Source organism: Homo sapiens, chromosome 11 (assembly GCF_000001405.40).
Source record: "Homo sapiens chromosome 11, GRCh38.p14 Primary Assembly".
Taxonomy (NCBI): domain Eukaryota; kingdom Metazoa; phylum Chordata; class Mammalia; order Primates; family Hominidae; genus Homo; species Homo sapiens.
Genome location: NC_000011.10, coordinates 105,712,344 through 105,739,350, shown reverse-complemented (window position 1 = coordinate 105,739,350; position 27,007 = coordinate 105,712,344). Strand labels below are relative to the sequence as shown.

Genomic DNA, 27,007 nt, shown 5'->3' with positions numbered 1-27,007 from the left:
TATGACATCTGAGCTAAAAAGCACATTTCAATTCTAAATTAAACTAATTGAGAGCTCAGTAAAAATATACAGGCTTGTTTGCACATTTCTTTCCGGAGTCAGGCCATCATAATGGAAACACATGGCTCACTTTGCTTCCAAGGCCTACAAAGGAATAAGCAGAAGGCTATTTGCAATACTCAGCACGAGGAGCAAGATTCCATTCAGTGTAAAGACGGCTTCCTTGGCAGTAATTTGGGTGCTGCAAAGATCACATCACTCTTTTATACTACTAATCCGTAACCGTAAGGGCTACAATAAGTGAGCTTTTGGAAGGAAGGAAGGTGAGAGAAAAGGAAGAAAGAAATTTCTAAAAGGCATCTAAATCAAAACAGGTGCATTTGGGTTTTTTTTTGGGTTTTTTTTGTTTTTTTTTTTTTTGTTTTTTTTTACTTGTCAACTTCCAATTATGAAGAAACAAAGTATAGAGAAAGAGGCACCCAGTGATTTACTGTTTAGCATTCAAGGATTTAGAATATATTTTTACCTTTAAGTGATCCTTTAATGGAAACGTTTGATTCATCATCTATATTTTGTACTATATAACTGAGTCACATAATTACAGTAATATTCTTTTTATGCCAGAGAAACACTTTTTCAAGGGTCTAAATAATGGGTTGAAAGCATTCCGTCATTGGAGGAGACACAGCTGTCTTCCTGAAAATCATTTAAATGCATTTTGGAAGTGGGTAACAGCAATTAAAAATGGAATGGAATAATATTTGGGCAGATATTTGAGTGGGTTTTAGAAACAACTATTCTCATGAGTATTACACTTCCTGAATAACTGAAGTGTCATCACTTATTTTGGATCCAGAATTTGGTGACATTTGTTTAATGTATGTGTTTACCACTCCACATAACTCTGTGGTAGCAAGAACTGTGGCTGCTTTAATTACCATTCTTTATTTTTTTTCTGCTCCAGCATTCAGCCTAACGCTTGGCACATAGTTGGTGGGCAATAAATATTTGCTAAGTGAACAACCTAGTGAATGGAGGCAAACAAGAGGTCATATGTGAAAGGTATTTGAGATTCATGAAGATATTTAGCCCAATTAATCTACAGAATGAATAATTCCTCATTGTATTGAAGATGACACAAGTTACCAAAGTTAATTTACATGCAACTTATCTGGAATTCCCTTACACATTAAATTCGCTTCCACTCATTCAATGAGACTGCCTGCTCTGTACTTGAGACCAAGGATACCCATCCAAGTATTCTAATGCCATGTGTTAAGCATGAGAGGGAGGCATCCAGGCAGTTAGCTGGGGAAAGCGAACAGGGCAGGGGGGTGGGAGGGGGAACTTATTATATACCCATGGTGTGTGAGACTCTGTAGTAGTCATTTTATATTATTTATCTCCTTTAAACTTCATGACATTCTTATAGGGAGGTATTCTTGTTTTCCCTTTTCTTTTTGAAAGATGAAATTTGGTGAATTTATGCAACTCATATAAGTTTATACATCTAAGTGGTGAAAGAACAATAATTTTGTAACCTACATCTGCTTCCAAAGTTCATGTTCATTTCATTCCACCACTTGAAAAGAAAATCACTGGCTAAGTACTTCTTCCATCCTGCTCTGCTGAAGGGATTTTGACCATTATACCTTTATTGCTACTGGAAGAGGCACTCTAAGAATACTTATACTTCATGGAAACAGGAGTAGGTCTTAAGGGATTACGGAAAATTGGTTTCTTCTTAAGAAGCCACTTCTTAAAGCAAACTGAGTTTTTGCTGTCAATTTAAAAAGGACAAACACATATATAACTCAGAACAATAAGATTGCAGTAACCGATGTTTCAATACTTTTTTTTTTCTTTTATTTTTGTAGTTGTCCCTTACTAAAGTCCCCTGCAAAAAATCCTGGAACAGAATTTACAGCTAACCATGGCTAGATGGAAATATTAAACTTTTGCATGGTTAATATTCACATGTAAAAACAATTTCTTCCCCTTCTAGAATATAATAATTGAACTAGTCAAATGTTAGTAAAAAGACATAAAGCAGCCAATTTAATTGTGTGTTGTTATTTTTTGGCTGTATTCAAATTTCAAAAACAATTTTCAAACATTTGGGCTGTACACCAAGAAGGACAACACGAAACAGAAATAATCAACTACTCCAGTTACTTGTTAAAGTTATACAAGTATACAGCTTTTTGAGTTCTCAGACCATTTCCAGCGATTTCAAAGTTAAATAAATTCTGATTTATAAAGCTCCTTACGCCTTCATTCTGTTATTAGAATATTACAGAATAGAATGCTATCCAATAAAAATGCTGTTTAATTCCCTATATTAAACCATGATTTATTACTGAAATTATACTACTAATAATTTTCTCTTACTGCTTCTGCGTGTGTGTTTGTGTGTGATGAAAGCAGTAAGTGCTTTGGGTTTTAGGAAATTGTAATAGTAGAATAGAATATGGCTTGGTACAATAATCACTATAATCTTAATCTTAAAGGCATTAAAACTTGAAGCATATATTTCTTTGCTTTTATACTAAAGTAACATTTTTTCTAATAACATATGTTAGAATAGTTTGAATCCCTTAAAACCAAAAGGTCAGACTTTATAGTAGAATATAGCCTTTTGAAAAAAAATTTAAATGTATTTATATCTATTTTGTAGCTAATACAATAAAAAGAAGTTTAATCATTGCATCTAAAGTAAAATAATTTATGCAGTATAAAGTCTGATTATGTATATAAAGTAACTTATATCAGGTGTTTATGAGATGAACAAACATGTATACTATATATATACTATACAAGGAGATTCTAAAATTTTTCTAAATAACTTGAGTATTTAGTGTACTACATAAGAAAATAACTTTCGGAAATTGTGTAGTAACAGTTATTATTCTGAATAAATAATCATGAGTATTTCAAATATAACATTTTCCAACATATACAGCCATATTTTTAGAGAGAGAGAGAATGACTATTCTTTCAATATGGCTCTCATATCCGCCTACCATTAATTTACTCTAAATGAAGACTGCAAAGTACAGCATCCACAGGGCCTAGGAATGTAATGTAAATGAATGAAGCAGGCCGAGGGCAGGGTGGTGAGGTCAGTAATGAATCTGAGAGTACTTACCCCACTACAAGGGGTGCCACTGTCATCCCAAAATGATTGTTGCCAAGAGGGATTAAAGGCCCAGTGTGTCTGGGTACTCTGAATTTTTTATAGAATCTTTATATCTGAGTATTTGTGAATATTCTTCTAATTTTTAAGCATTGGCCACCAATTAAAACATTTATTTATTTTAGAGTGTGTCAAGATAAATTTTATTTCTGGGAAGCATATTGTCTAGAACTGACAGTTTTCTGGGACAATTGCTGCCCCTTCTTCACTTAAATTTGCACATATATTACCAAACTAAATTTTCTAATCTTTACAGTGCTCATTTTAACCTGGTGCTCTTAAATTTGAGCTGTTTATTGTCTGTTTAAAAATGTATGTCTAAGTATGTAAGTGTGTATCCTTCTAGTGCCAAGGAGAAAACAACTTTCCCGGATTATGGCTTTTTATGCCTATATGAGACTTTAGAGACTATCTAGATGGATTCTTCCCTTTTACAGAGGAAGACAGTAAACCTCTAAGATATTAGGTCACTTGCCCATGGCCTTTAGACACTGACAAAGTAAAGCAGATGTCCTTAGCTTAGATAAAAAGTAGAGATAAAAAGTCCATTCAAATAGAAGGAACAATTTTACAGTAAGATCCTACTTATAAATTAATAGAAATGTATGTAATGAATTTCTTGCTGCTACAGGGAGAGGAGACCTGTGAGAAAGGAATGTCTACCTTGTATCTTGTTATTTAAACTATATTTTATGAAATTGTTGCACCCAGAGAGTAGGATGAACACTTCTGTGGATATTTGCTAATGGGTCTGAGCACATTTTAATTATTCAAATATTTAATCAGTAGTATTTACATATTTAATAAATTATTATCCTTTCTCTTTTGCTGATTAAGACAAGCGAGTTGTTTGTTCACTTACAAACATCCATGGTTCACTATATTGAGTCTAAGCAGATTTTTGTTTTTGCAACATGATTTTCTTTCTTTTTTTTTCTGATAATGTTTACTGATTTCATGGTGGAAAGTCTCTAAGGGTTTAATCTGAAAGCTAATTTTTTGAATAATATTTCATGTTTGAGGTAGCTATATGTTAGCTCAGTGTATATATGCTGATTTGCGTATTGTATTTTAGGTACTCTGTTGGGGGCTGAGAACATACAAATAAGTAAAGCATGTTACATGATTTTGAGAATATGCGAAACTAGAACTTTATATGATAGTATTTAATATCATCGTGGCTATAACAACTATTCATTCAACAATATTGAGCATCTACTCTTAGACACTGCCAGGTGCTGGGGGACACCCCAGTAGAGAATTCACATGTGATCCTCACTCTTACATTGACCCAGTACTGATAAGTAATATTAGTGCTTATAAAATTAGTGCTTATAAAGGAATAAAGGATAGTATAAGGATGCAAACTTAAATTGACTGATAACTAGGAGTATGCCAGTCACAAAGTAGAGAAAACACTATCTCAGACATAAATGAAAATTGCAAAGTGCTATAAAGAAGCTGAACAATTTTGTTTGGTGTCTGAGAGGGAGGGGAAGTGGTGAGTGATAAGGCTGAAGAGGAAGTAATAAACCAAGTCTTGGAGAACAGTGTTAAGTATCCCTGTGGATTTTGGACTTTATCCTAAGGAAGATGGGAAGCCACCTTGTTCTGAAACAGGAGAGCGAAATCATCTGATTTATGATTTTAGAGTGCAAGCTATAGTAGGGAAAATTAATTAAATGGAACTGTAATGGATCCTAGGGAACTTGATCCTGGTATTGCAGTAGTCTAGCCAAAAGTTGTTGAAAGCTTAGAATGCAAGGGCTGTGAAGAGCAAGAGAAATACATGGACTCAAGGCATATTTAGTGAGTAGAATTAATAGGCTTTGTTGATGAATTACACATGAGTGTTAGGCAAAATTTACATCTCAGTCTCTAGCAAAGCAACTGGCTGAATGCTGTTGTGTTTACCATTTACCAAGGTGGAGTAAACTGTGGGAGGTTTAGTGAGTCCAATTTTATACATACTTAGTTTGAGATGCCTGGAGAAAATTCAAGGGAAAATGCCAATTGAGTAGATCTGTCAGTGTCTAAAGGCCATGGGCAAGATATTTTATATATATATATGTATAAAATATATATATTATATATAATATACATATATTATATATAATATACATATATATGAATTCATATATATGTATATAATATATATATGTATTCATGTAGTGACCAATGATAATATGGTTATCATTATGGGAACATAAATGAACACAGGAAAAATGTTTCCAGTGAAGCTAGTAAAGTAACCTTACCAGGAAAGGCATGAGAAGTAAGGAAAACCCAGTACAGTGTGATATCATGGAATTCAATATAAAAAAAAAGTGTTTCAAAATGGAAGGGGTATCGACTACTGCTGAAGCAGGATTATCAATGAGCAGAATAAGAATAGATGTCTGGCCAGGCATGGTGGCTCACTCCTGTAATCCCAACACTGGGAGGCCAAGGTGGGAGGATCATGAGGTCAGGAGTTTGAGACCAGCCTGACCAACACAGCGAAACCCCGTCTCTACTAAAAATACAAAAAATTAGCTGGTCGTGGTGGCAGGCGCCTGTAATCCTAGCTACTTGGGAGGCTGAGGCAGCAGAATTGCTAGAACCTAGGAGGCAGAGGTTGCCGTGAGCCAAAATTGTGCCACTGCACTCCAGCCTGGGTGACAGAGCCAGACTCCGTCTCAAAAAGAAAAAAGAAAAGAATAGACGTCTATGGAAACCAAAGAGAAACTAAAGAATGGGCACCACAAATCCTTAAAGATACAAAAATCTCCCAACAATTCCATATTATGTAGAAGTCTATTAATGTCTACTGGTAAATAAACAACAATTTCATACATGTATCATCTATATGGCCTACTGACTTCTATCTATGTATATACGTATACTGACACCGTATCTTCTCTAAAGTATGGCATCATCCAGTAGTGCGATATTAAAGATAACATTGGTTATAATTATTTTCTTAACTTTGTGACAGCAAGGTAGAAATGTATGAAAATGTATTAAGTCTTTCAAAATAACAATAATGCTTTCAGGTATATGATATATCTGACAAAGAGAGTTTGTATATGCAATTAATCTATTTCTATACATTGATTTAGACACAGGGAAAGAAGATAATATAAGAGATACAACATAAAGAGGCTGTTTAAGTGTGGTATACACAATTTGGACATTTAGACACATCAAATGAGGTAATAAATGTGAAAGGAATGTATAAACTGCAAAGTGCTATGCGATTAATAATAGCGTAATGGATGTTAGTCATTCTTTTCTGCTGCCTGACATCTGAAAAACTGGCCTATGTTTAGGAAATTCACCACCTCATGAGTCTTGGAGCCTGAAAGTGCCAGATACTGTTTTCCCAGCCTCCCTGGCAACTAAGCTGTGAACTTGTGAGCCAGATATTAACTTATTGCCTCATTGCCTCTCAGCTCCAAATCTACTTTTCTTTGCCATGCTTTGTGATACTGGCATTGGATCGTGTAAAAATCCAGCTTCACCAGCTGGTAGAATCCTAGCTTCATCAATAGAAGGCACTGGAGTGACCCCACAAAGTGGTAGCAGCAAGAAGACATCTTCTTTGGGGTTTGGTCCTCTATTATTGTTTTTCCATGCAGGAGTCCAGTAGCTCACACTGAGGAGTTCTAGCAGCACCCACAGCAGACCACACTTCTCCCTAAACCATGACGGCTTGTAGGCATCTTCATCCCATGAGAACTATCTCCATCCCTCCAGAAACACACGGCTGCTAATATAAACTTTCACACTCTCCACACAACAGCAGCTTCTAATGCTACTGCTGGTTCACGCCCTCCACTCAACGCTGGGCACTTCTATAGATATGTTTGGGCCACCCACATCCCCAGGCAAAGGAAGGCCACTTCTAGAAGCTAGCAATGGCTTGTGACCTCTTTGCTGTTTGCAGACTGCACTCTCCTGGAGTAGCCACACTCTCTTTTAAGTCTAAATTTCAACCTTGGCAGGGAGCCTTCCCCCACTCTTTAATTCCTTATTGTTCATGCTTCCTCAGCCTAGAGATAGTAGCTGTTATTTTGCACTTGATATTACTGGACAGCTTAGAGTCCTCTTCTGTGCTTCTTAGTACTTAACCTCCTTCTTATTTTTTATTATACTTTAAGTTCTGGGATACATGTGCAGAACGTGCAGGTTTGTTGCATAGGTATACATGCGCCATGGTGGTTTGCTGCACCCATCGACCCATCATCTACATTAGGTATTTCTTCTAATGCTATCCTCCCCTTGTCCCCCACCCCCCGACAGGCCCTGGTTTGTGATATTCCCCTCCCTGTGCCCATATGTTTTTATTGTTCAACTCCCACTTATGAGTGAGAACATGCGGGGTTTGGTTTTCTGTTTCTGTGTTAGTTTGCTGAGAATGATGGTTTCCAGCTTCATCCATGTCCCTGCAAAGTACATGAACTCATTCTTTTTTTATGGCTGTATAGTATTCCATGGTGTATATGTGTTACATTTTCTTTATCCATTCTAACAATGATGAGCATTTGGGTTTGTTCCAAGTCTTTGCTATTGTGAATAGTGCTGCAATAAACATACGTGTGCAAGTGTCTTTATATTAGAATGATTTATAATCCTTTGGGTATATACCCAGTAATGAGATTGCTGGGTCAAATGGTATTTGTAGTTCTAGTTCCTTGAGGAATCGCCACACTGCCTTCCACAATGGTTGAACTAATTTACACTCCCACCAACAGTGTAAAAGTGTTCCTATTTCTCCACATCCTCTTGAGCATCTCTTGTTTCCTGATTTTTTAATGATCGCCATTCTAACTGGTGTGAGATGGTATCTCATTGTGGTTTTGATTTGCATTTCTCTAATGACCAGTGATGATGAGCTTTTTGCATATGTTTGTTGGCCGCATGAATGTCTTCTTTTGAAAAGCGTATGTTCATATATTTTGCCCATTTTTGATGGGGCTGTTTGTTTTTTTCTTGTAAATTTGTTTAAGTTCCTTGTAGATTCTGGATACTGGCCCTATGTCAGATGGATAGATTTCAAAAATTTTCTCCCATTCTGTAGGTTTTCTGTTTACTCTGATGATAGTTTCTTTTGCTGTGCAGAAGCTCTTTAGTTTAGTTAGATCCCATTTGTCTATTTTGACTTTTGTTGCCATTGCCTTTGGTGTTTTACTCATGAAGTCTTTGCCCAGGCCTGTGTTCTGAGGGTATTGCCTAGGTTTTCTTCTAGGGTTTTTATGGTTTTAGGTCTTACATTTAAATTTTTAATCCATCTTGAGTTAATCCTTGTATAAAGTTTAAGGAAGGGGTCAAGTTTCAGTTTTCTGCACATGGCTAGCCAGTTTTCCCAACACCATTTAGTAAATAGGGAATCCTTACCCCACTGCTTGTTTTTGGAAAGTTTGTCAAAGATCAGATGGTTCTAGATGTGTGGTGTTATTTCTGAGGACTCCGTTCTGTTCCATTGGTCTATATATGTGTTTTGGTACCTGTACCATGCTGTTTTGGTTACTGTAGCCTTGTAGCACAGTTTGAAGTCAGGTAGCGTGATGCCTCCAGCTTTGTTCTTTTTGCTTTGGATTGTCTTGGCTATACAGGCTCTTTTTCGGTTCCATATGAAATTTAAAGTAGTTTTTTCTAATTCTTTGAGGAAAGTCAAGGGTAACTTAATGGGAATAGCATTGAATCTGTAAATTATTTTGGGCAGTATGACTATTTTCACAATATTCATTCTTCTATCCATGAGCATGGAATGTTTTTCCATTTGTTTGTGTCCTCTCTTATTTCCTTGAGCAGTGGTTTGTAGTTCTCCTAGAAGAGATTCTTCACATCCCTTGAAGTTGTATTCCTAGGTATTTCATTCTCTTTGTAGCAATTGTGAATGGGAGTTAGCTCATTATTTGGCTCACTGTTTGTCTATTATTGGTGTATATGAATGCTTTGATTTTTGCACATTGATTTTGTATCCTGAGACTTTGCTGAAGTTGCTTATCAGCTTAAGGAGATTTTGGGCTGAGACGATGGGGTTTTCTAAATATACAATCATGTCATCTGCAAACAGAGATGAATTGACTTCCTCTCTTCCTATTTGAATACGCTTTATTTCTTTCTCTTGCCTGATTGCCCTGGCCAGAACTTCCAATACTATGTTGAAAAGGAGTGGTGAGAGAGGGCATCCTCGTCTTGTGCCGGTTTTCTAAGGGAATGCTTCCAGCTTTTGCCCACTCAGTATGATATTGGCTGTGGGTTTGTCATAAATAGCTCTTATTATTTTCAGACATGTTCTTATTATTTTCAGATATGTTCAATCAGTTCCTAGTTTATTGAGTGTTTTTAGCATGAAGAGGTGTTGAATTTCATTGAAGGCCTTTTCTGCATCTATTGAGATAATCATGTGGTTTTTGATATTGGTTCTGTTTATGTGATGGCTTACGTTAATTGATTTGTGTATGTTGAACCAGCCTCGTATCCCAGGGACAAAGCCCACTTGATCCAGGTGGATAAGCTTTTTAATGTGCTGCTTGATTCAGTTTGCCAGTATCTTATTGAGGATTTTTGCATTGATGTTCATCAGGTATATTGGCCTGAAATTTTCTTTTTTTGTTGTGTCTCTGCCAGGTTTTGGTATCTGGATGATGTTGACCTCATAAAATGAGTTAGGGAGGAAGGAGTCCTTCTTTTTCTATTGTTTGGAATAGTTTCAGAAGAAATGGCACCAGCTCCCCTTTGTACCTCTGGTAGAAATTGGGTCTGAATCTGTCTGGTCCTGGGCATTTTTGGGCTTTGTAGGCTATTAATTACTGCCTCAATTTCAGAACTTGTTGTTGGTTTATTCAGGGATTCAACTTCTTCCTGGTTTAGTCTTGGGAGGGTGTATATATTCAGTAATTTATCCATTTCCCCTAGATTTTCTAGTTTATTTGCATAGGTGTGTTTATAGTATTCTCTGATAGCAGTTTGTATTTCTGTGGAATGAGTGGTAATCTCCCCTTTATCATTTTTATTGCATTTATTTGATTCTTCTCTCTTTTCTTTTTTATTAGTTTGACTAGCAGTATATCAATTTTGTTAGTCTTTTCAAAAAACTAGCTCCCAGATTCACTGATTTTTTGAAGTGTTTTTCGTGTCTCTATCTCCTAAGGTTCAGCTCTGATCTTAGTTATTTCTTGTCTTCTGCTAGCTTTTGAATTTGTTTGCTCTTGCTTCTCTAGTTCTTCTAATTGTGATGTTAGAGTGTGGATTTTAGATCTTTCCCACTTTCTCCTGTGGCCATTTTAGTGCTATAAATTTTCCTCTAAACACTGCTTTAGCTGTGTCCCAGAGATTTTGGTATGTTGTGTCTTTGTTATCATTAGTTTCAAGGAACTTATTTATTTCTGCCTTAATTTCGTTATTTATCCAGCAGTGATTCAGGAGCAGGTTATTCAGTTTCCATGTAGTTGTGAGGTTTTGAGCGAGTTTCTTAATCCTGAGTTCTAATTTGATTGCACTGCAGTCTGAGACTGTTTGTTATAATTTCTGTTATTTTGCATTTGCTGAGGAGTGTTTTACTTCCAATTATACGGTCAATTTTAGAATAAGTGCTATGTGGTGCTTAGAAGAATGTATATTCTATTGCTTTGGGGTGGAGAGTTCTGTAGATGTCTATTAGATCTGCTTGGTCCAGAGCTGAGTTCAAGTCCTGAATATCCTTGTTAATTTTCTGTCTTGTTCATCTATCTAATATTGACAGTGGGGTGTTAAAGTCTCCCACTATTATTGTGTGGGAATCTAAGAACTTGTTTTATGAATCTGGATGCTTCTGTATTGGGTGCATATATATTTAGAATAATTAGCTCTTCTTGTTGCATTGATCCCTTTACCATTATGTAATGCCCTTCTTTGTCTTTTTTGATCTTTGTTGGTTTAAAATATGTTTTATCAGAGAATAGGATTGCAACCCCTGCTTCTTTTGCTTTCCATTTACTTGGTACATATTCCTGCATCCCTTTATTTTGAGCCTATGTGTGTCTTTGCACATGACATGGGTCTCCTGAATACAGCACACTGATAGGTCTTGATTCTATCCAGTTTGCCAGTCTGGGCCTTTTAATTGGGGCATTTAGCCCATTTACATTAAAGGTTAACGTTGTTATGTGTGAATTGGATCCTGTCATTATGATGCTAGCTCGTTATTTTGCCCATTAGTTGATGCTGTTCCTTCATAGTGTCGACTGTTTTTACATTTTGGTTTGTTTTTGCAGTGGCTGGTACTGGTTTTTCCTTTCCATATTTAGTGCTTCCTTCAGGAGCTCTTGTAAGGCAGGCCTGGTGGTGACAAAATCCCTCAGCATTTGCTTGTCTGTAAAGGATTTTATTTCGCCTTCACTTAAGAAGCTTAGTTTGGCTGGATATGAAATTCTGGGTTGAAAATTTTTTTCTTTAGGAATGTTGAATATTGGCCCCCACTCTCTTGTGGCTTGCAGGGTTTCTGCGTAGAGATCTGCTGTTAGTCTGATGGGCTTCCCTTTGTGGGCGACCTGCTTTATCTCTCTGGCTGCCCTTAACATTTTTTCCTTCATTTCAACCTTGGTGAATCTGATGATTATGTCTTGGGGTTGCTCTTCTCAAGGAGTATCTTTGTGGTGTTCTCTGTATTTCCTGAATTTGAATGTTGGCCTGTCTTGCTATGTTGGGGAATTTCTCCTGGATAATATTCTGAACAGTGTTTTCCAACTTGGTTCCATTCTCCCGTCACTTTCAGGTACACCAATCAGACATAGTCTTTTCACATAGTCCCATATTTCTTGAGGTTTTGTTCATTCCTTTTCATCCTTTTTTCTCTAATCTTGTCTTCATGCTTTATTTAATTAAGTTTATCTTCAATCTCTGATATCCTTTCTTCCGCTTGATGGATTCTGCTATTGATCCTGTGTATGCTTCATGAAGTTCTTGTGCTGTGTTTTTCAGCTCCATCAGGTCATTTATCTTCTTCTCTATACTGGTTATTCTAGTCAGCAATTCCTCTAACCTTTTTTCCAAGTTCTTAGCTTCCTTCCATTGGGTTATAACATGCTCCTTTAGCTTGAAGGAGTTTGTTATTACCCACCTTCTAAAGCCTACTTCTGTCAATTTGTCAAACTCATTCTCTGTCCAGTTATGTTTCCTTGCTGGCGAGGAGTTGTGTTTCTTCGGAGGAGAAGAGGCATTGTAGTTTTTGGCATTTTAAGCCTTTTTGCAATGGTTTTTCCTCATCTTTGTGGATTTATCTACCTTTGGTCTTTGCTGTTGGTGACCTTTGGATGGAGTTTTTGCTTGGTTGTCCTTTTTTTTAATGTTGATACTATTGCTTTCTGTTTTTTAGTTTTCCTTCTAACAGTCAGGTCCCACTTCTGCAGGTCTGCTGGAGATTGCTGGGGGTCCATTCCAGACCCTGTTTGCTTGGGTATCACCAGTGGAGGCTGCAGAACAGCAAAGATTGCTGCCTGCTCCTTCCTCTGGAAGCTTCGTTCCAGAGGGGGACCCACCAGATGCCAGCCAGAGCTCTCCTGTATGAGGTGTCTGTTGACCCCTGCTGGGAGGTGTCTCCACATCAGGTTCAGGGACCCACTTGAGGAAGAAGTCTGTCCCTTAGCAGAGCTCTAGTGCTGTGCTGGGAGATCTGCTGCTCTCTTCAGAGCTGGCAGGTGGGAACATTTAAGTTTGCTGAAGGTGCACCCACAGCTGCCCCTCCCCCCAGGTGCCCTGTGCGAAGGAGATGAGAGTTTTATCTATAAGCTCCTGACTGGGGCTTCTGCCTTTCTTTCAGAGATGCCTTGCCCAGAGAGGAGGAATCTAGAGACGCACTCTGGCTACTGTGGCTTTGAGGTGCTGCGGTGGGCTCCACTCAGTTTGTACTTCCCAGAGGGTTTGTTTATACTATGAGGGGAAAACCACCTACTCAAGCCTCAGTAATAGTGGACGCCCCTCTCCCCACCAAGCTCGAGCATCCCAAGTCTACTTTAGACTGCTGTGCTAGCAGTGAGAATTTCAAGCCAGTGGATCTTAGCTTGCTGGGCTCTATGGAGGTAGGATCCGCTGAGCAAGACCACTTGGCTCCCTGGCTTCAGCCTTTCCAGGGGAGTGAACGGTTCTGTCTCAATGGCATTGCAGGTGCCACTGGGGTATGAAAAAAAACTCCTGCAGCTAGCTCAGTGTCTGCCCAAAGAGCCACCCTGTTTTGTGCTTGAAACCCAGGGACCATGTAGTGTAGGCACCCGAGGGAATCTCCTGGTTTGTGGGTTGCAAAGACCATGGGCAAAGCATAGTATCTTGGCCAGATAGCACCATCCCTCACAGCACGATCCCTCATGGCTTCTCTTGGCTAGGGGAGGGAGTTGCCCGACCCTTGTGCTTCCCGGGTGAGGTGATGCCTCATCCTGCTTCAGCTTGCTCTCCATGGGCTGCACTCACTGTCTAATTAGTCCCAATGAGATGAACCGGTTTCCTCAGTTGCAAATGCAGAAATCACCCTCTTTCTGTGTTGGTCTCACTGGGAGCTGCAGACCAGAGCTGTTCCTATTCAGCCATCTTGCCCCTGCTTTCCAATCTCCTTCTTTTAATTAATGATTCTTTATATTAGTTTCCCCCCTGCAAATAAATCATGTGGTTTCGACACATGATGAGGTTTCTGACACCTATGATTATAGGTGCCCTCTATGGCTATAATCAGGTATTAGCTCCAGTGAATTCCAGGTGGGAGAGTCTGTATGCTATGTGCAAGGCTGAAACCAGGCAATGGCATGAGTGTCCTCACTTGCCATTCACGTTTGTGTTGTGAATTTGTGCAATGTTCATGTCTTTTTGTCCTAGATTTAGTTATCTAGTCCTCCAGAATATTCTGAGAATACTTAGAACTTTTTAATAAATTTATTTTTGACTCAGTGAGCCAGAATTAGATTTTGTTGCTTGCTACTAAGAATACAGATGATGAGAAATAGCTAATATTGCATGCTTAAACTGTTTCAATGCTTGAATTATTCTATATATTTAATTATTCTACATATATTATCATATTTAACAGGATATGAATGAATCCTCATACAAATCCTATAAAGTATTGATTATCCTCATTTTATAAATGAAGAAACTAAAGCTCAGAGAGATTAAGATTTGCTCAAGCTCACAGGACTAAGTAGTAGAGATGAGATTCAAATGCAAACATTGATTTCTAAATTTGGTGCTCTTAATTGAACATATAGACAACCTCTTCATTATTTTGGTAACAACAATGTAATCAAACAATGTTTTTTTCCCTCAACAACATAAAAATTATATTTGTCAACCCAGAAGAGAAAAATATATGACACATTATTAGTGTTTAGGCTCAAAGCTCAGCTTTTTAAAAAAAATTTATAAATTTAAGGGCTATAAGTACAATTTTGTTGCAGGGATATATTGCAGAGTGATGGTCTTGGCTTTTAGTGTATTCTTCACTCAAATAATGTACACTGCATTCATTAAGTAATTTCTTATCACCATCCCCTACTGCCCCCCAACCCTTTCAAATCACCAGTGTCTATCATTTCATGCTCTATGTCCATGTATACACACTATTTAGCTCCCACTTATAAGTGAGAGCATGTAGTATTTGATTTTCTGTTTCTGAGTTGTTTGAGTTCAGATAATGGTCTCCACTTCCATCCATATTGCTGTGAAAGATGTGATTTCATTGATTTCATTCTTTATCATGGCTGAATAGTATTCCAATGTGTGTGTGTTTGTGTGCACATATATATATGTGTGTGTGTGTGTGTGTATATATAATGGTGTGTGTGTATCCATCTATCTATCTATCTATGTATATATATATGTCACATTTTATTTATCTAATTGTCCTTTTATGGACACTTAGGTTATTGATTCTGTCCCTATCTTTGCCATGGTAAATATCACTGCAATAAACTTATTAGTGCATATCATTTATATAATGATATAAAAAAGACAACTGCACTTGTATGTTTATTGGGTAAATATCCAGTAGTGGGATTGCTAGATTGAACGGTAGTTCTGGTTTTAGTTCTTTGGGAATCTCCATACTGTTCTCTATAGACGTCATATGAATTTACATTCCCACCAACACTGTATGAGCATTCCCTTTTCTCTGCATCCTTCCCAACATCTGTTATTTTCTGACTTTTTAATAGTAGTCATTTTGACTGGTGTCAGATGATATTTCACTGCAATTTTAACTTGCATTTCTCTAATTATTAGTGATGTTGAGCATTTTTTCATGTTTGTTGGCTATTTGTATGTCTTCTTTTGAAAAATGTCCATTATTTGTTTTGTTGTTGGTGACGCTGCATTGAGTTCATTATAAATTCAGAGGTCAAGTTTTATTGAGCCTTAGGACCAAACTGAATCAATTACTTCCCTGGGTATCTTGTTCTCATCACTTTCTACTTACTGTTCATAGTTACACATGCACACAAATTTGATATATTAGGAAGTTGAAGCGAGCAATGATTAGTTCTCTCTCCAGTGAATGGTCTAGATCAAGGATGACGAGGAAGCTGAGGTTAAGACTAATTCATGCCAAAATTAAGGGAAATAAATTAGTAGGGAAGTAAGAATCCTATATTATGTTTGTCTGAATTTTTTCCTTCCTAGAATTTAGACATCCTAACTCTCCAATTTGTCCTTTCCAACATTATCTCATTGAATTGCCATAAATGCTGACCAATCGTTATTTTACATCAGATATGCTGATATATTTTATTCTGGAAAAAAACCATAAAATTTATATTTTTATTTTAAAAGTGTAATGACCTAATTCAGTAAGTTATTATTTAAGGATATTGGTTCAAACGACAGTTCAAGGCAGCTAAATGCTCAATCTCTGGACCATTTTAAATAAAATAATGTTTTAAAGAATTTAAAGAGCCCATTACACTCAGCTACATTTTAAAATTGCGTAATTTGATTAAATTGACATTTAAATGTCAAGTACTTTTCCAGCATTTCCTTTCTCATTGATTGCTCACTGCTGAGATGTTTGTATGTAATTAGGAGGGTTTTTTCCCCCTTTCCTTTTTAGCCAGCGGTCTACTTCTTCAACTTTACCCATCGGCAAGTCCCAAGGTCCAGTTGTGTTCTTCCTAGAATTAATTGTGGGATCACTAAAACTGATTTTCATTATCACTAAAAGTTCAAATATTTAGTTAAGTAAAAATCATTTAAAAGAAAAAATATTCACTTAAGTCAACTTACAGACGTCACAAATCTTTAGTATGCGATTATTAGTTTGGCGATAATATTATTTCACTGTAAAAATGCCTAGACTATGTAAATTTGGTGGAAGAGATTAAATCTTAAATATTTATCTAAATTTTTACTTATTTTATGTATGTAATACAATGGACATGGAGTATATTTACATCTTAATAAAATACATATACCATTATATGTATATACATGTATAACAAAACTAAAATATAATTGCAGAAAAGCACATTAAATTTTACCATTTTAACCTTAGAAAGTAGAGAAGGTATTAAAGAAATAGTAGTATCAGTAAAGTTATGATGAGATGGGAACTTTTGCTCACTATTGATAAAAACATGAATTGGTACAACCTTTAAGGAACAAATTTATGACTACCTATGCGGAGTCCTAAATTTTTTATCAGGTAACTTCTGGTAAATGATTCTAAAAGCCTAGTACAGATGCTTCTCTACTTACAATTGGGTTATGTCTCCACAAACCGATTATAAGTAGAACAAATCATAAGTTGAAAATGCACTTACTACTCCAATAACCCCATTGTAAGACTGAAAAATGTTGAGTTGTACCACTGTAAGTCCAGATGCTCCTCAACTTACAATGAGCCTACATAACAATAAGCTTATCATAATTCACAAACATCATAAGTTGAAAATGAAATTAATACCCTGATAAACCCATCATAAAGTGGAAGAATGGTTAAGTCCAACCACAAAAAGTCAGGGACTGTCTGTATACAGAAATATTCTTACCTCAATAATATAGCAGTAGAGGGAAATTAGCACCATCTGATTTTTAACTATGGAAAGGTTTCACAATTTCATAGTTACATATAAAACATGATTTCAAATTAGGAAAGAGAACAGAGAACATGTTTTAAGATATCAAGAATAGCTATTTCTGAGAACAAGTATACATATGATTTATATATATTCTTTTATAATTTCCAGCTTGCGTTAGATTTACTGCAATTGACATTTACTACCATTATAGTCAAGAAAAAATTAAGCCTTATTTTGAGTGCAGGAAGATAATGCCTGGTTTTTCTACAAAAAGCAAACAGTCTTTGAGCTAAGACCAATTGCTGTCCAATCACAGGCCATGGAAGCTCCTCATGCCCAATATTGATGACTGGGAGGATGAGATTTACCCTGCTGTGGGAATAGCTGAGGGAAGAATGTTCCACGCAGAAGGGAGATAATATAAAGTTCAGGATTAATAATTGCACAAGTAATTTGTGTAATTGCTTGTTTAATTAAGTTTTTCTGTTCTGTTTGGTTGCAAACCCTGCTAGGGCAGGATCTTTGGCAGGAATCTCTCTTTGGCATTTGTACAGTGCTTTGCACTATTAATATATGTAAAATCAATGAAACAAATCCAATTATAGAATATCCTTTAGTATGTTTGTTTGAGTCCAGGCTCAGAGATCATTTTTGTAAACAACAAAACATATTCCTGAATGTTATGGTAATAATTAAAATTAAACTGTAAGAATCCTTGAATCTCATTATTTCCCCAGCCAGTCTGTGAGAATGGAGGAGACAGGTGAAAGGGAAATGAAAATTCAAGCAGAGGAGAACAGGAAGGGGAGGGGCATTCTCGGGTCTTAAGTGCTACTCGGAAATAAACTTAAGCCAATAACAGAAAAACTGAAATATTATCCCTCTTCAAAATCTTTCCACCTCCTTAGTGATCCGTTCCTAAAATAGTTATTTTTGCAATGAATCTCTCAAGATTCTTTAATTAGCAAAAGAGATTGCGTAGATATTAAAAACCCCAAAACATAGGGCCCAAATCATGGTGTGACCAGCTAGATGAAAAATAGGGAGCAAGCCACAATATAGGAACAAGGCTCTGATCCCAGGAAGAAGGACCCAAAACCACTTAACACTGTCCATGAGCATATATTCATCAAGTTAGGCAGCCCCATTCCCACTTGACTTCTGGGAACCAACAGCCTTTCTATTAAAACATTAGATAAAGTCTGGGGGCCATGGGGTATTGAATAGCTTAAATCAAATAATCTCAAAATATTAATTATTCCTGCTATACCTAGGGGGACTGGGGGACACTATTCCGAATGAGCAGCCAATTGGTCTGCAGCCTGAATCTGTGATGCTGCACAATCCTGCAGTTTCTCTGTGATATGACAGGTTGGAGATTTATCTACTCAACCCATTTGCACACTCCTTATAAATGTGGATGGCCATTTGACAATGAAGGAAGCAAGACGTGTATTAATGCACTAATTTATAACATAAACGTCTAAGGGATCAAGCAAATAAAGTGAATGACTGAAGCAATTTGACTGTAAAGTCAAGAACTAGCCCTTTCTTACACTGGTTGGTCCTTAATGGCATCATAAATTGCGCTTTTTAGCTATGGACATATTTTGTTTATACATTCTTCATTTCTACCAAGAAATATACATTTTCACATCTTTTGAGAAACCCATCATTTCATAGGCCACATATTTTCTTTTCTCGGTTTGGATAGAATCACAGATACAAGAAAGATTTCCATTTTGTTTTAAGTCTCCTTGTATACATAAAACCACAGTTCAGCAATGATGAAGGGTGGCACAGCTCCTGGCAGGCTGCAAACTGCTTGGCTGTCTGAGGCTGTTTGCTGCTGCTCTGCCAGTGATTGCTATGTAGACACGTGGGCCCAGCAAAGTTGCATCTTACATGTTCTGGGAAAAGCCAGAAAAAAAACATGAAATTTTATGAGGAAATTCACAATTTAAAAATGGTAGCTTCTTATTTTTAGGAAAGTACTTTTGGCTAAAAAAAAAAAATACTGGTTTAGAGATCAAAGTTGGCATATTGACACATTTTTACCCCTTGAATGCAGACAAGCAGAAGAGGTACTTTTCACAGATGGCAAGTGAATACATTTTGCAATACATTAAAAATTAAAATACAATAATTAGTACTACTGCTGAGGGATCTTATGATGAAATAGGCTGAGTGAAAGACCAATTGGCAGGATATTTTACAGTAATGTGAGCAAATGTGATCTGTAAGAGTGTTAGTTGCTGTGAAAAATACAGTATAGAAAAGGAAACTCACCACATTTGTAATTTCAGTCGCCATTTTTGGGAAAAATTTTCATGCCAACTCAGGCTTTTTTTTTTTTCCCAATCATTGACTTTCCCTATAGAGCCTGAACGCATCTGAGTCACTGGTAAAGAAAAAGCTGACCTCCACCTTTATAGTATGTACTTATGTCCCTTTACTCAGGGACTTCACGGAGAAAAGCCCCATGAGTCATGAGGCTTCAGAGTCATTAGTTTTCAGAATGAACTGAGCATACATGTTTATTTAAAAACCAAGCTCTGCTTTGAGTGACTGTAGGGTCCTGCTGCCTGCTGTGTCATATCCTGGACTACATAAGCTCAGCCGCTGCTCTAAGTGGCTCTTAATTATACACGCATTTTGTCAGCTCAGATTTCTCCAATGACCTGTTTCTAATATTCAGAAAATTTAAAGCAGACATATGCACAAAGAAAGATTACTAATTTGATGAGAGGAATGTCCACCAATGATCGGGAATCTTAATCTCCCAAAACATAGCCAGCCGCTCGTGGGACAACTTTATGTTTACCTAATCGCTCCGATAGTTCCTAATGCCAATCACAATTCTGTCCAGCAAACACAATGAGTGATTGGGAAAATGGGGAACCCTATTGAGTTGTCCCTGTCTTTAGAGTGAAAAATAGAACTCTTTGTAGCACTTACCGAACTCTCAATTTAAAAATTGAGTGCTAAGATCAGGTACGAATGCCTGAAGAAGCTCAGATTGTCCATTCTAGAAATCAACACTGTATAGTTAAAATGTCAGCAGTCACCTTCCTTTTAAATTTAAAAAAAACAAGAGAGAGAGATCAGCTTTTTAAGAATAAGTGCTTCGTGTTAATGCCTCAGATCTGGAGCTCCACGGCATAACTCTGATGTAAGCTCATTCATGCCTGACTCCCTACCTTGTTTCCCCTGGCTTGTTCCAAACTCCTAAGTAAGCAGCTGATTGGAATTGACAAGAATCCTGCTCAAGGAGCCTCAGCAAGCACAAATCTTTTCCATTTCAATACTCTGGTAGCTCAAAGGAATGAGCTGCCAAGGGAGCAGTGGAATGGAAAATCATGCGTGCATTCCCTCTCCTTCCGTGAGTATCCACATTAACAGTAAACTTTGGCCTTCAAGTAGCTCCTTTTAGGAGGTGTTCCTTAACTAGGTCGAGACACCACCATTACCACCATGAACCCAATGCATGTGTTAGGTAATTGTTCCACCTACAGTGGACTGAAATTAGTTTCCTCATTCTTTTCTATTTGTAGTATCATGAGACAGCAATCGTTTTCTGTTGTAATTTATATGGGTTTTAAGGTCTTTGAATGCTTCTCCACCTCCCTCAAATATCCATCCATTTATTCATCCAGTGAATCAAATTTGTTGACATTTGCTTTACGCAAAGCATCACAACAGCTGAGGTGGGAGGAGATTGTGCTTATGGTACGATAATATTGGTACCTTTGTCTGGAGCCTCACTCTCCATTACAGGCATCAGTCATCTGTGAATTAAACCAAGGATCTAAACATGCCCCCTTAAAATAATTACACTAATGAAAGCTTGGAAGAGCTTAATTGGCTGATCCTCAGTCAGTGCTACACATGTAGTCTATATACTTGTGTGACCACACCTAATTCTATACATTGGCTTCATAGGTTGTTCTAGCCTTAAATATTTTAAGACTCAGTGTTTACTTTTTCCATATTCTGGGCTTATGTTTGAGGTGAGCCATAGTAAATAATTTTGGTTTTAATTTTAGAGCACTGTTAGCCAACCAATGATCCATTTCTTTTTTCAAGAGAACAAAGCCTCATTGTTCAGTTCCCACCTATGAGTGAGAATATGCGGTGTTTGGTTTTTTGTTCTTGCATAGTTTACTGAGAATGATGATTTCCAATTTCATCCATGTCCCTACAAAGGGCATGAACTCATCATTTTTTATGGCTGCATAGTATTCCATGGGGACTGTTGTGGGGTGGGGGGAGGGGGGAGGGATAGCATTGGGAGATATACCTAATGCTAGATGACGAGTTAGTGGGTGCAGCGCACCAGCATGACACATGTATACATATGTAACTAACCTGCACATTGTGCACATGTACCCTAAAACTTAAAGTATAATAATAATAAATAAAAAAAAAGAAAAAAGAGAGAACAAAGGCTGTACTTAAAAATCTTCGTTTAACTCTATGTTATGTCTTTTCTTTGTTGTAAGTCATTGCAAGACGACTTGAAAGTTGGGAAAATTTATTACCATTGGAATTTGTACTTCTCTCCCCTGGAATGACTATTCCTCCCTTCCAAGAAAAAAAAAACTTGTAAGAATGTCTTTTTAGAAATTCAGAAACATATATCATGGGATTAATTAAAGAGTCTCACTGAGACAGAATCTTGCTTTTGGAGAGATAGTGAGATTTAGCTTTATTTCTTGTTGTCTAAGGGCGTATAATTAAGAGTTTGCTAAGAAAATAACTGCTAGAGTGGCTTAGGTAGGAGCAGAATTCCCATTAAGATTTTTTTTTTCTTTTTATGCTTTTAGGGCAAATATGGTATATTTATAGTCACAGAGAAAAATTAGCTGGTATGGAGCTTGCCATGCTCTGAAATGAAAGAATGAATTTTAAAAGGTGGTTTATGAAACTGGACATGCTTGGACTGGGATTTCAGGAATTCTTAGCTCCAATCCACCTTTTCTAGTGACTCATTCTATGGAGATGAAGATAATGTTAACCTCATTTTCAACATAAGGGGAAAATATTCACTTGTTTGGGATATTCTGAAGATTAATGAATAAGTTATCACGGAGGACTTTGCTAAGATAAACCTCCATGTAACACTGAATAATAAGGATTGCAGAGAGTAAGAAAAGGCAAAGACTCAGTTTCTCCTTTTTTCTTTTTTTATGGATTAGAGCAACTGCCTATCAAGTTGTAAAACGTGAGAACAATTTGCTCTTCTAAAAGTAAGGCATCGAGGTAATTTAAATTATAATATAGTATATTCTCTAGTTAAAGATTAGAGTCCATCTGAGAGTGAAGTTTTTGATCATTCCCCACTTTTACATAATGTTTGCCCCCTGCTACATACCGATGTTTCTGCTGAGTTATGAAACTTCATAATAGGATGTGTCTAGAGAAAATGGTTAAATTGATGTTAAGTGCAAACTATTCTTCTCTAGGGAATTATATTGCTTGCATTGATACGTTGTTAATGATGTATAGAGTTTTCTGTACAGTGATGATGTGTAGCTTAGGAGTCTCTGCAAAACTGTCCACCAATTGCTTTCTAACCAGAGTTATCAGAAATAGGACAGCACACTGTGTTACAACTTAGATAATTTAGGTTTTCAGTGATTGTGATACATTTTATTTTAGGAAACTAAATTTTTCATTCCATTTTAACCACTGTATTATCATTTAAAATTGTTCAAATTAAGGAACTTGAGAATACAGTTATAAATAAAACAACTAAAAGTAATTTGAATTATATACATTATCAAATAAGCTAGAAGTAAGTATATTACTTTACTATGTAAATAGGAGCTGTTTTATTTCTTTCTTCTGTGTTATTGCAAAATTTACATTTAATAGTAGCTAAAATGTGTTCCACAAGATATAATGGTTTCTTGTCAATCTGGGATCCTTCAATTCATTCCAAAACCTCTGTATGTGTTTATAGATAAGTTCTTGCATATGTGAAAAAAGGGTTGGTTGCAGTGGATAAGAAACTTTTAAACTTTTAGGGAAATTACAGTCATGTCTAATATAAAATTATGCTTTTTACTATGCCAAGGCTAATTGCATTTTAGTTTGTTATTTTTAATGTTTGTAACAGAGCCCTGTATGTCTACTTTCCTCTTCTTCCTGGGCCTCACTTGCAATTAGTTGCAGCTGAGTGATTAAGTCTTTCCCGTTGGGCATTGAGTAGAAATAACGTGGGCCATTTTCAGGCCTGACACATTTCACCTACAGTGTGTACTTTGTACTTGTTTTCCTGTTAGCCGAAGGCAGATGACATGGATGCTTTAAAGGATGGTAGCGCCACGAGATGAAGGGACCCTGGGTCCCTTAAGACAAAGTGGAGAGAAACCCCAACCCCATTGAATTGAAAACCCACTGTAGAGTTATGACTTCTCCTTTAATCATCCTTAATTCTTTGGGTCATTTTGTTACTGCAGCTTAGCCTATTCTAACTAGTACAGAATTACATTCTTTAAAATCCTTTTTGCTCGTCTAATACACAAATATATTCTATTATCTAAAAACTGGCTCAAATTTGGTATTTTCTGTAGCCTTTCTTAATCTTTTGTATTGATATTAATGACCTCTTCCTGGTCTGACTTCTTGTACTAATCATTTGACTATTAATGAGAGAGCAACATCTATCTGTAGGCTTCTTGGTCATCAAAACAAAAAGGGAAACATAGACAGTTACATAATTTTATTTTCAGTGGGGATTAAGCATAACAGGTCCTGGTTGGAGGTTAAAGATATATCTCTAGTACTAAATTCTAAAAGATGTTTCAAACATAAGACTTAATATAGGGAAGGTAGTCATATAATAGAAAATGTCCTCAACAACGTGCCTTCAGCAAGTGTAATGAAAAGATGTAATAGTATGGTTACAGCATCTTTTGATTATGACCATTGTCATGATTGGCAACTCCTCAGAATGCTAAGGTAACATGTAGCAAATAAGTGATTGCTGTTTATTGACTACGCTGATTTACACTGATTTGAAAGTCCACTTTTAGAAATTCTCCATAAGATATAATCGCTGTTTTTTTCAGATTTTTAAAATGATGATTTTGTTGCAATCAATTGTGATTGTTATTGCCATCAAGTCTGGCCTTGACTGTAGATTCACAGTTACTGGTTGAAGGTGAAGCTCTTACACTGGAGACCAGAAAAGCTGATGGTTTGACTGTCATCCTTTTGTGGACATTAGTGAACCTAACCTAGACCCTTTACTAATCGAAGTCTCTCAGAGACACCTGCAGAAACAGCCAGAACACACACACACACGAACACACACACACACTCTTCTGGGTCTGTCCCAACTGAAGACCTAAAACGGCTAAAGATCAAATAATTATTCTGTTCAGTATAATTAATTTACATTTCTAAAACAGATGTTGTCATCATAATTTAATAAATATCTTTATTGGCCTGTCTCGTTTCAGCAATATAGGGTCTTGGTGAATCTGAATAATATAATTATTTGAAAATATATCTCCTAAGATGATTTTACTAGAAATGAATCCATTACATTTTGTAAGATAATTGATGTTTTATAATAAAGTATACTCAAGTCTTAAGCATGATAATATTTAGGCAACAAAATCAACTGTTCGTTGAGGTCATAGTTACTTTCAGACAGAATGGATATATCATTTTATGATGGAGACTTATTCACTTATTTATTGTAGGGAAGCATTCAACCAAATTATCTCAAAGTGATATCAGATTGTTAAAATATTAAGAAATTTAAAACAGTGTGATTTGATGATACATACTCTCTAGCAGAATTTTTTCACATGAAAATTGCACTAGTAACTTTGAGTTTCAATTATATATATTGATTTTTTTTTTTGTTTTTCAAAATTTAAAATATTTCTGGTTAATTTTTATAATATTTTAGTTTAAAAATTACTAAACAGTCTTGACATCATCAAGTTTTGAGAAGCAAAACCATTAATTTTATATCTCAAAGCAGTCTCTAAATAATATTTCCATAAATATAAATGTGGAAGTTGAGGCATAAATCCCACAATTCTCACCTACAAGCCCCCAATATATTTTGTAAAACCTAAATCCTATAGATCCTGCCTCAAAGCGTCTCTAAGTTTAGTAGTTTCTAGATTATTGTGGTAACAAACAAAATTAGCTGAGCACAGCTGTACTCACTGAAGAGCCGCTGAAGGTCTACAGTCTGCCAGCACACACAGAAGTGTTTCCTTGCAGCTGTACCCACTACTGGTCCTCTGGGTCTGTTGTTAATTATTTTTGAATTGTCCTTTTGTTACTTCAATGGCCTCAAGCTACTTTAAAATTTCCATTCTGGACCTATTTGTGCATCTTTAAAATATTTGTGCTGTTAATTAGCATATATTAATTAATAATTTCTGAACTATGTTCCTGAAGTAATTTAACAACAATCCCAAATTAAAAACTTTCTTGTACAAGGTAGAAAAGCTTGTAGTTGAAAATTGATTGAAAGCTTTTATCCCCACAAATCACACAGGAAAGGGCAAAAACTTTCAGGTAAAATTGGAATGTATAATGCATGATAGTGTTTCTCTAAATTAAGCATTGCTTTTATCTGTAAAAGCATTAAAGAAAAATCTGGAAAAGATCCCATAATTCCATCATTTTGACAAGTAATTTCATTTTATAAATTTCCTTTGAGTATGTGTCCATATGTGCAGAAATAAATGTATTCAGAATTTCAGAATTTTTTTTTTTTTGAGATGCAGTTCAATCTGTCTTCCTGGCTGGGGTGCAGTGGTGCAATCTCAGCTCACTGCAGCCTCCACCTCTCAGGTTCAAGTCATTTCCTGCCTCAGCGTCCTACGTAGCTGGGATTAAAAGCAGGCACCACGACGCCCAGCTAATTTTTGTATTTTTAGTAGAGACAGCGTTTCACCATGTTGGCTAGGCTGGTCTTGATCTCCTGACCTCAAGTGATCCACCTGCCTAACCCTCTCAAATTGCTGGAATTACAGGAGTGAGTCACTGTGCCTGGCCTGTATTCAGAATTATTATTTTTTATATTATACTGCAATATCAACCTACCATGACTTAATAGAAGAGTTTTGTTTAGAGTTCTAAAGATAAATGCAGATTTTTATATCTCCATTATGATATTCAATATCTCATCATGTATTAAAAGCATTGGGTAATATGCAGCCTTTGTATGAGATATTTAAATTAAATATGTGGTTTCCCTTTATTAAATCCTTTTTGCTGAGCTCTTTATATTTTTTTTCTTTTTTTTCCACATTGGGCTCATACTTTTGAGCTTTCACTAGTTATGAGGAATGGCCTAAGGCCAAATGTACTTTTAAATCTGGGCTGCAATGATTTATTTATGGGCAATTTACTTAAAGCTTTCTCTATATTAAAAAAAACAAAAACAAAGCAAAACAAAAACAAAAACAAAACAAAACAAAACACCTATGTGAAACGGATTCACTAAGCATGGTAAAAGAAACAAGGAAACATAATTTTAAAAATTATGCACAAAAAATAGGATAGGCTGAAATGTTGTAATAATCCCTTTGAAAAGTAAATTTGAATTTCCTTTGCAATTTTCATTTATTTGGGGAAACTTTTTCATTATCTTATCCCTTTTCCATTTATATGGTATTATTCTAAGTAAGATAAAAAATTAGTAAAGGACTGACAAAGCATGAATAAGAATATATATATCTATATCTATATATAGATAGATCCTTTCACTTTTCTTGAGTTTATCCTCACTATCTGACTAATATAACAACAG

At 36.2% G+C, this 27,007-nt stretch overlaps 1 protein-coding gene across 26 annotated transcripts in view, besides 2 other annotated features; it reads right to left on the bottom strand.

The window, feature by feature from the left end:
• GRIA4 (glutamate ionotropic receptor AMPA type subunit 4) overlaps positions 1 to 27,007 on the bottom strand; it is a 372,097-nt gene that overhangs the window by 242,740 nt on the left and 102,350 nt on the right. The gene's annotated exons all lie outside the window — the stretch shown is intronic.
• Positions 19,566 to 19,615: an enhancer, noted in NCBI's record as "active region_5462". NCBI's record gives its function as "activates an Ori minimal core promoter by ATAC-STARR-seq in GM12878 lymphoblastoid cells {active_cell/tissue: GM12878}" and the evidence as "EXISTENCE:reporter gene assay evidence [ECO:0000049][PMID:35858748]".
• Positions 19,626 to 19,735: an enhancer, noted in NCBI's record as "active region_5461". NCBI's record gives its function as "activates an Ori minimal core promoter by ATAC-STARR-seq in GM12878 lymphoblastoid cells {active_cell/tissue: GM12878}" and the evidence as "EXISTENCE:reporter gene assay evidence [ECO:0000049][PMID:35858748]".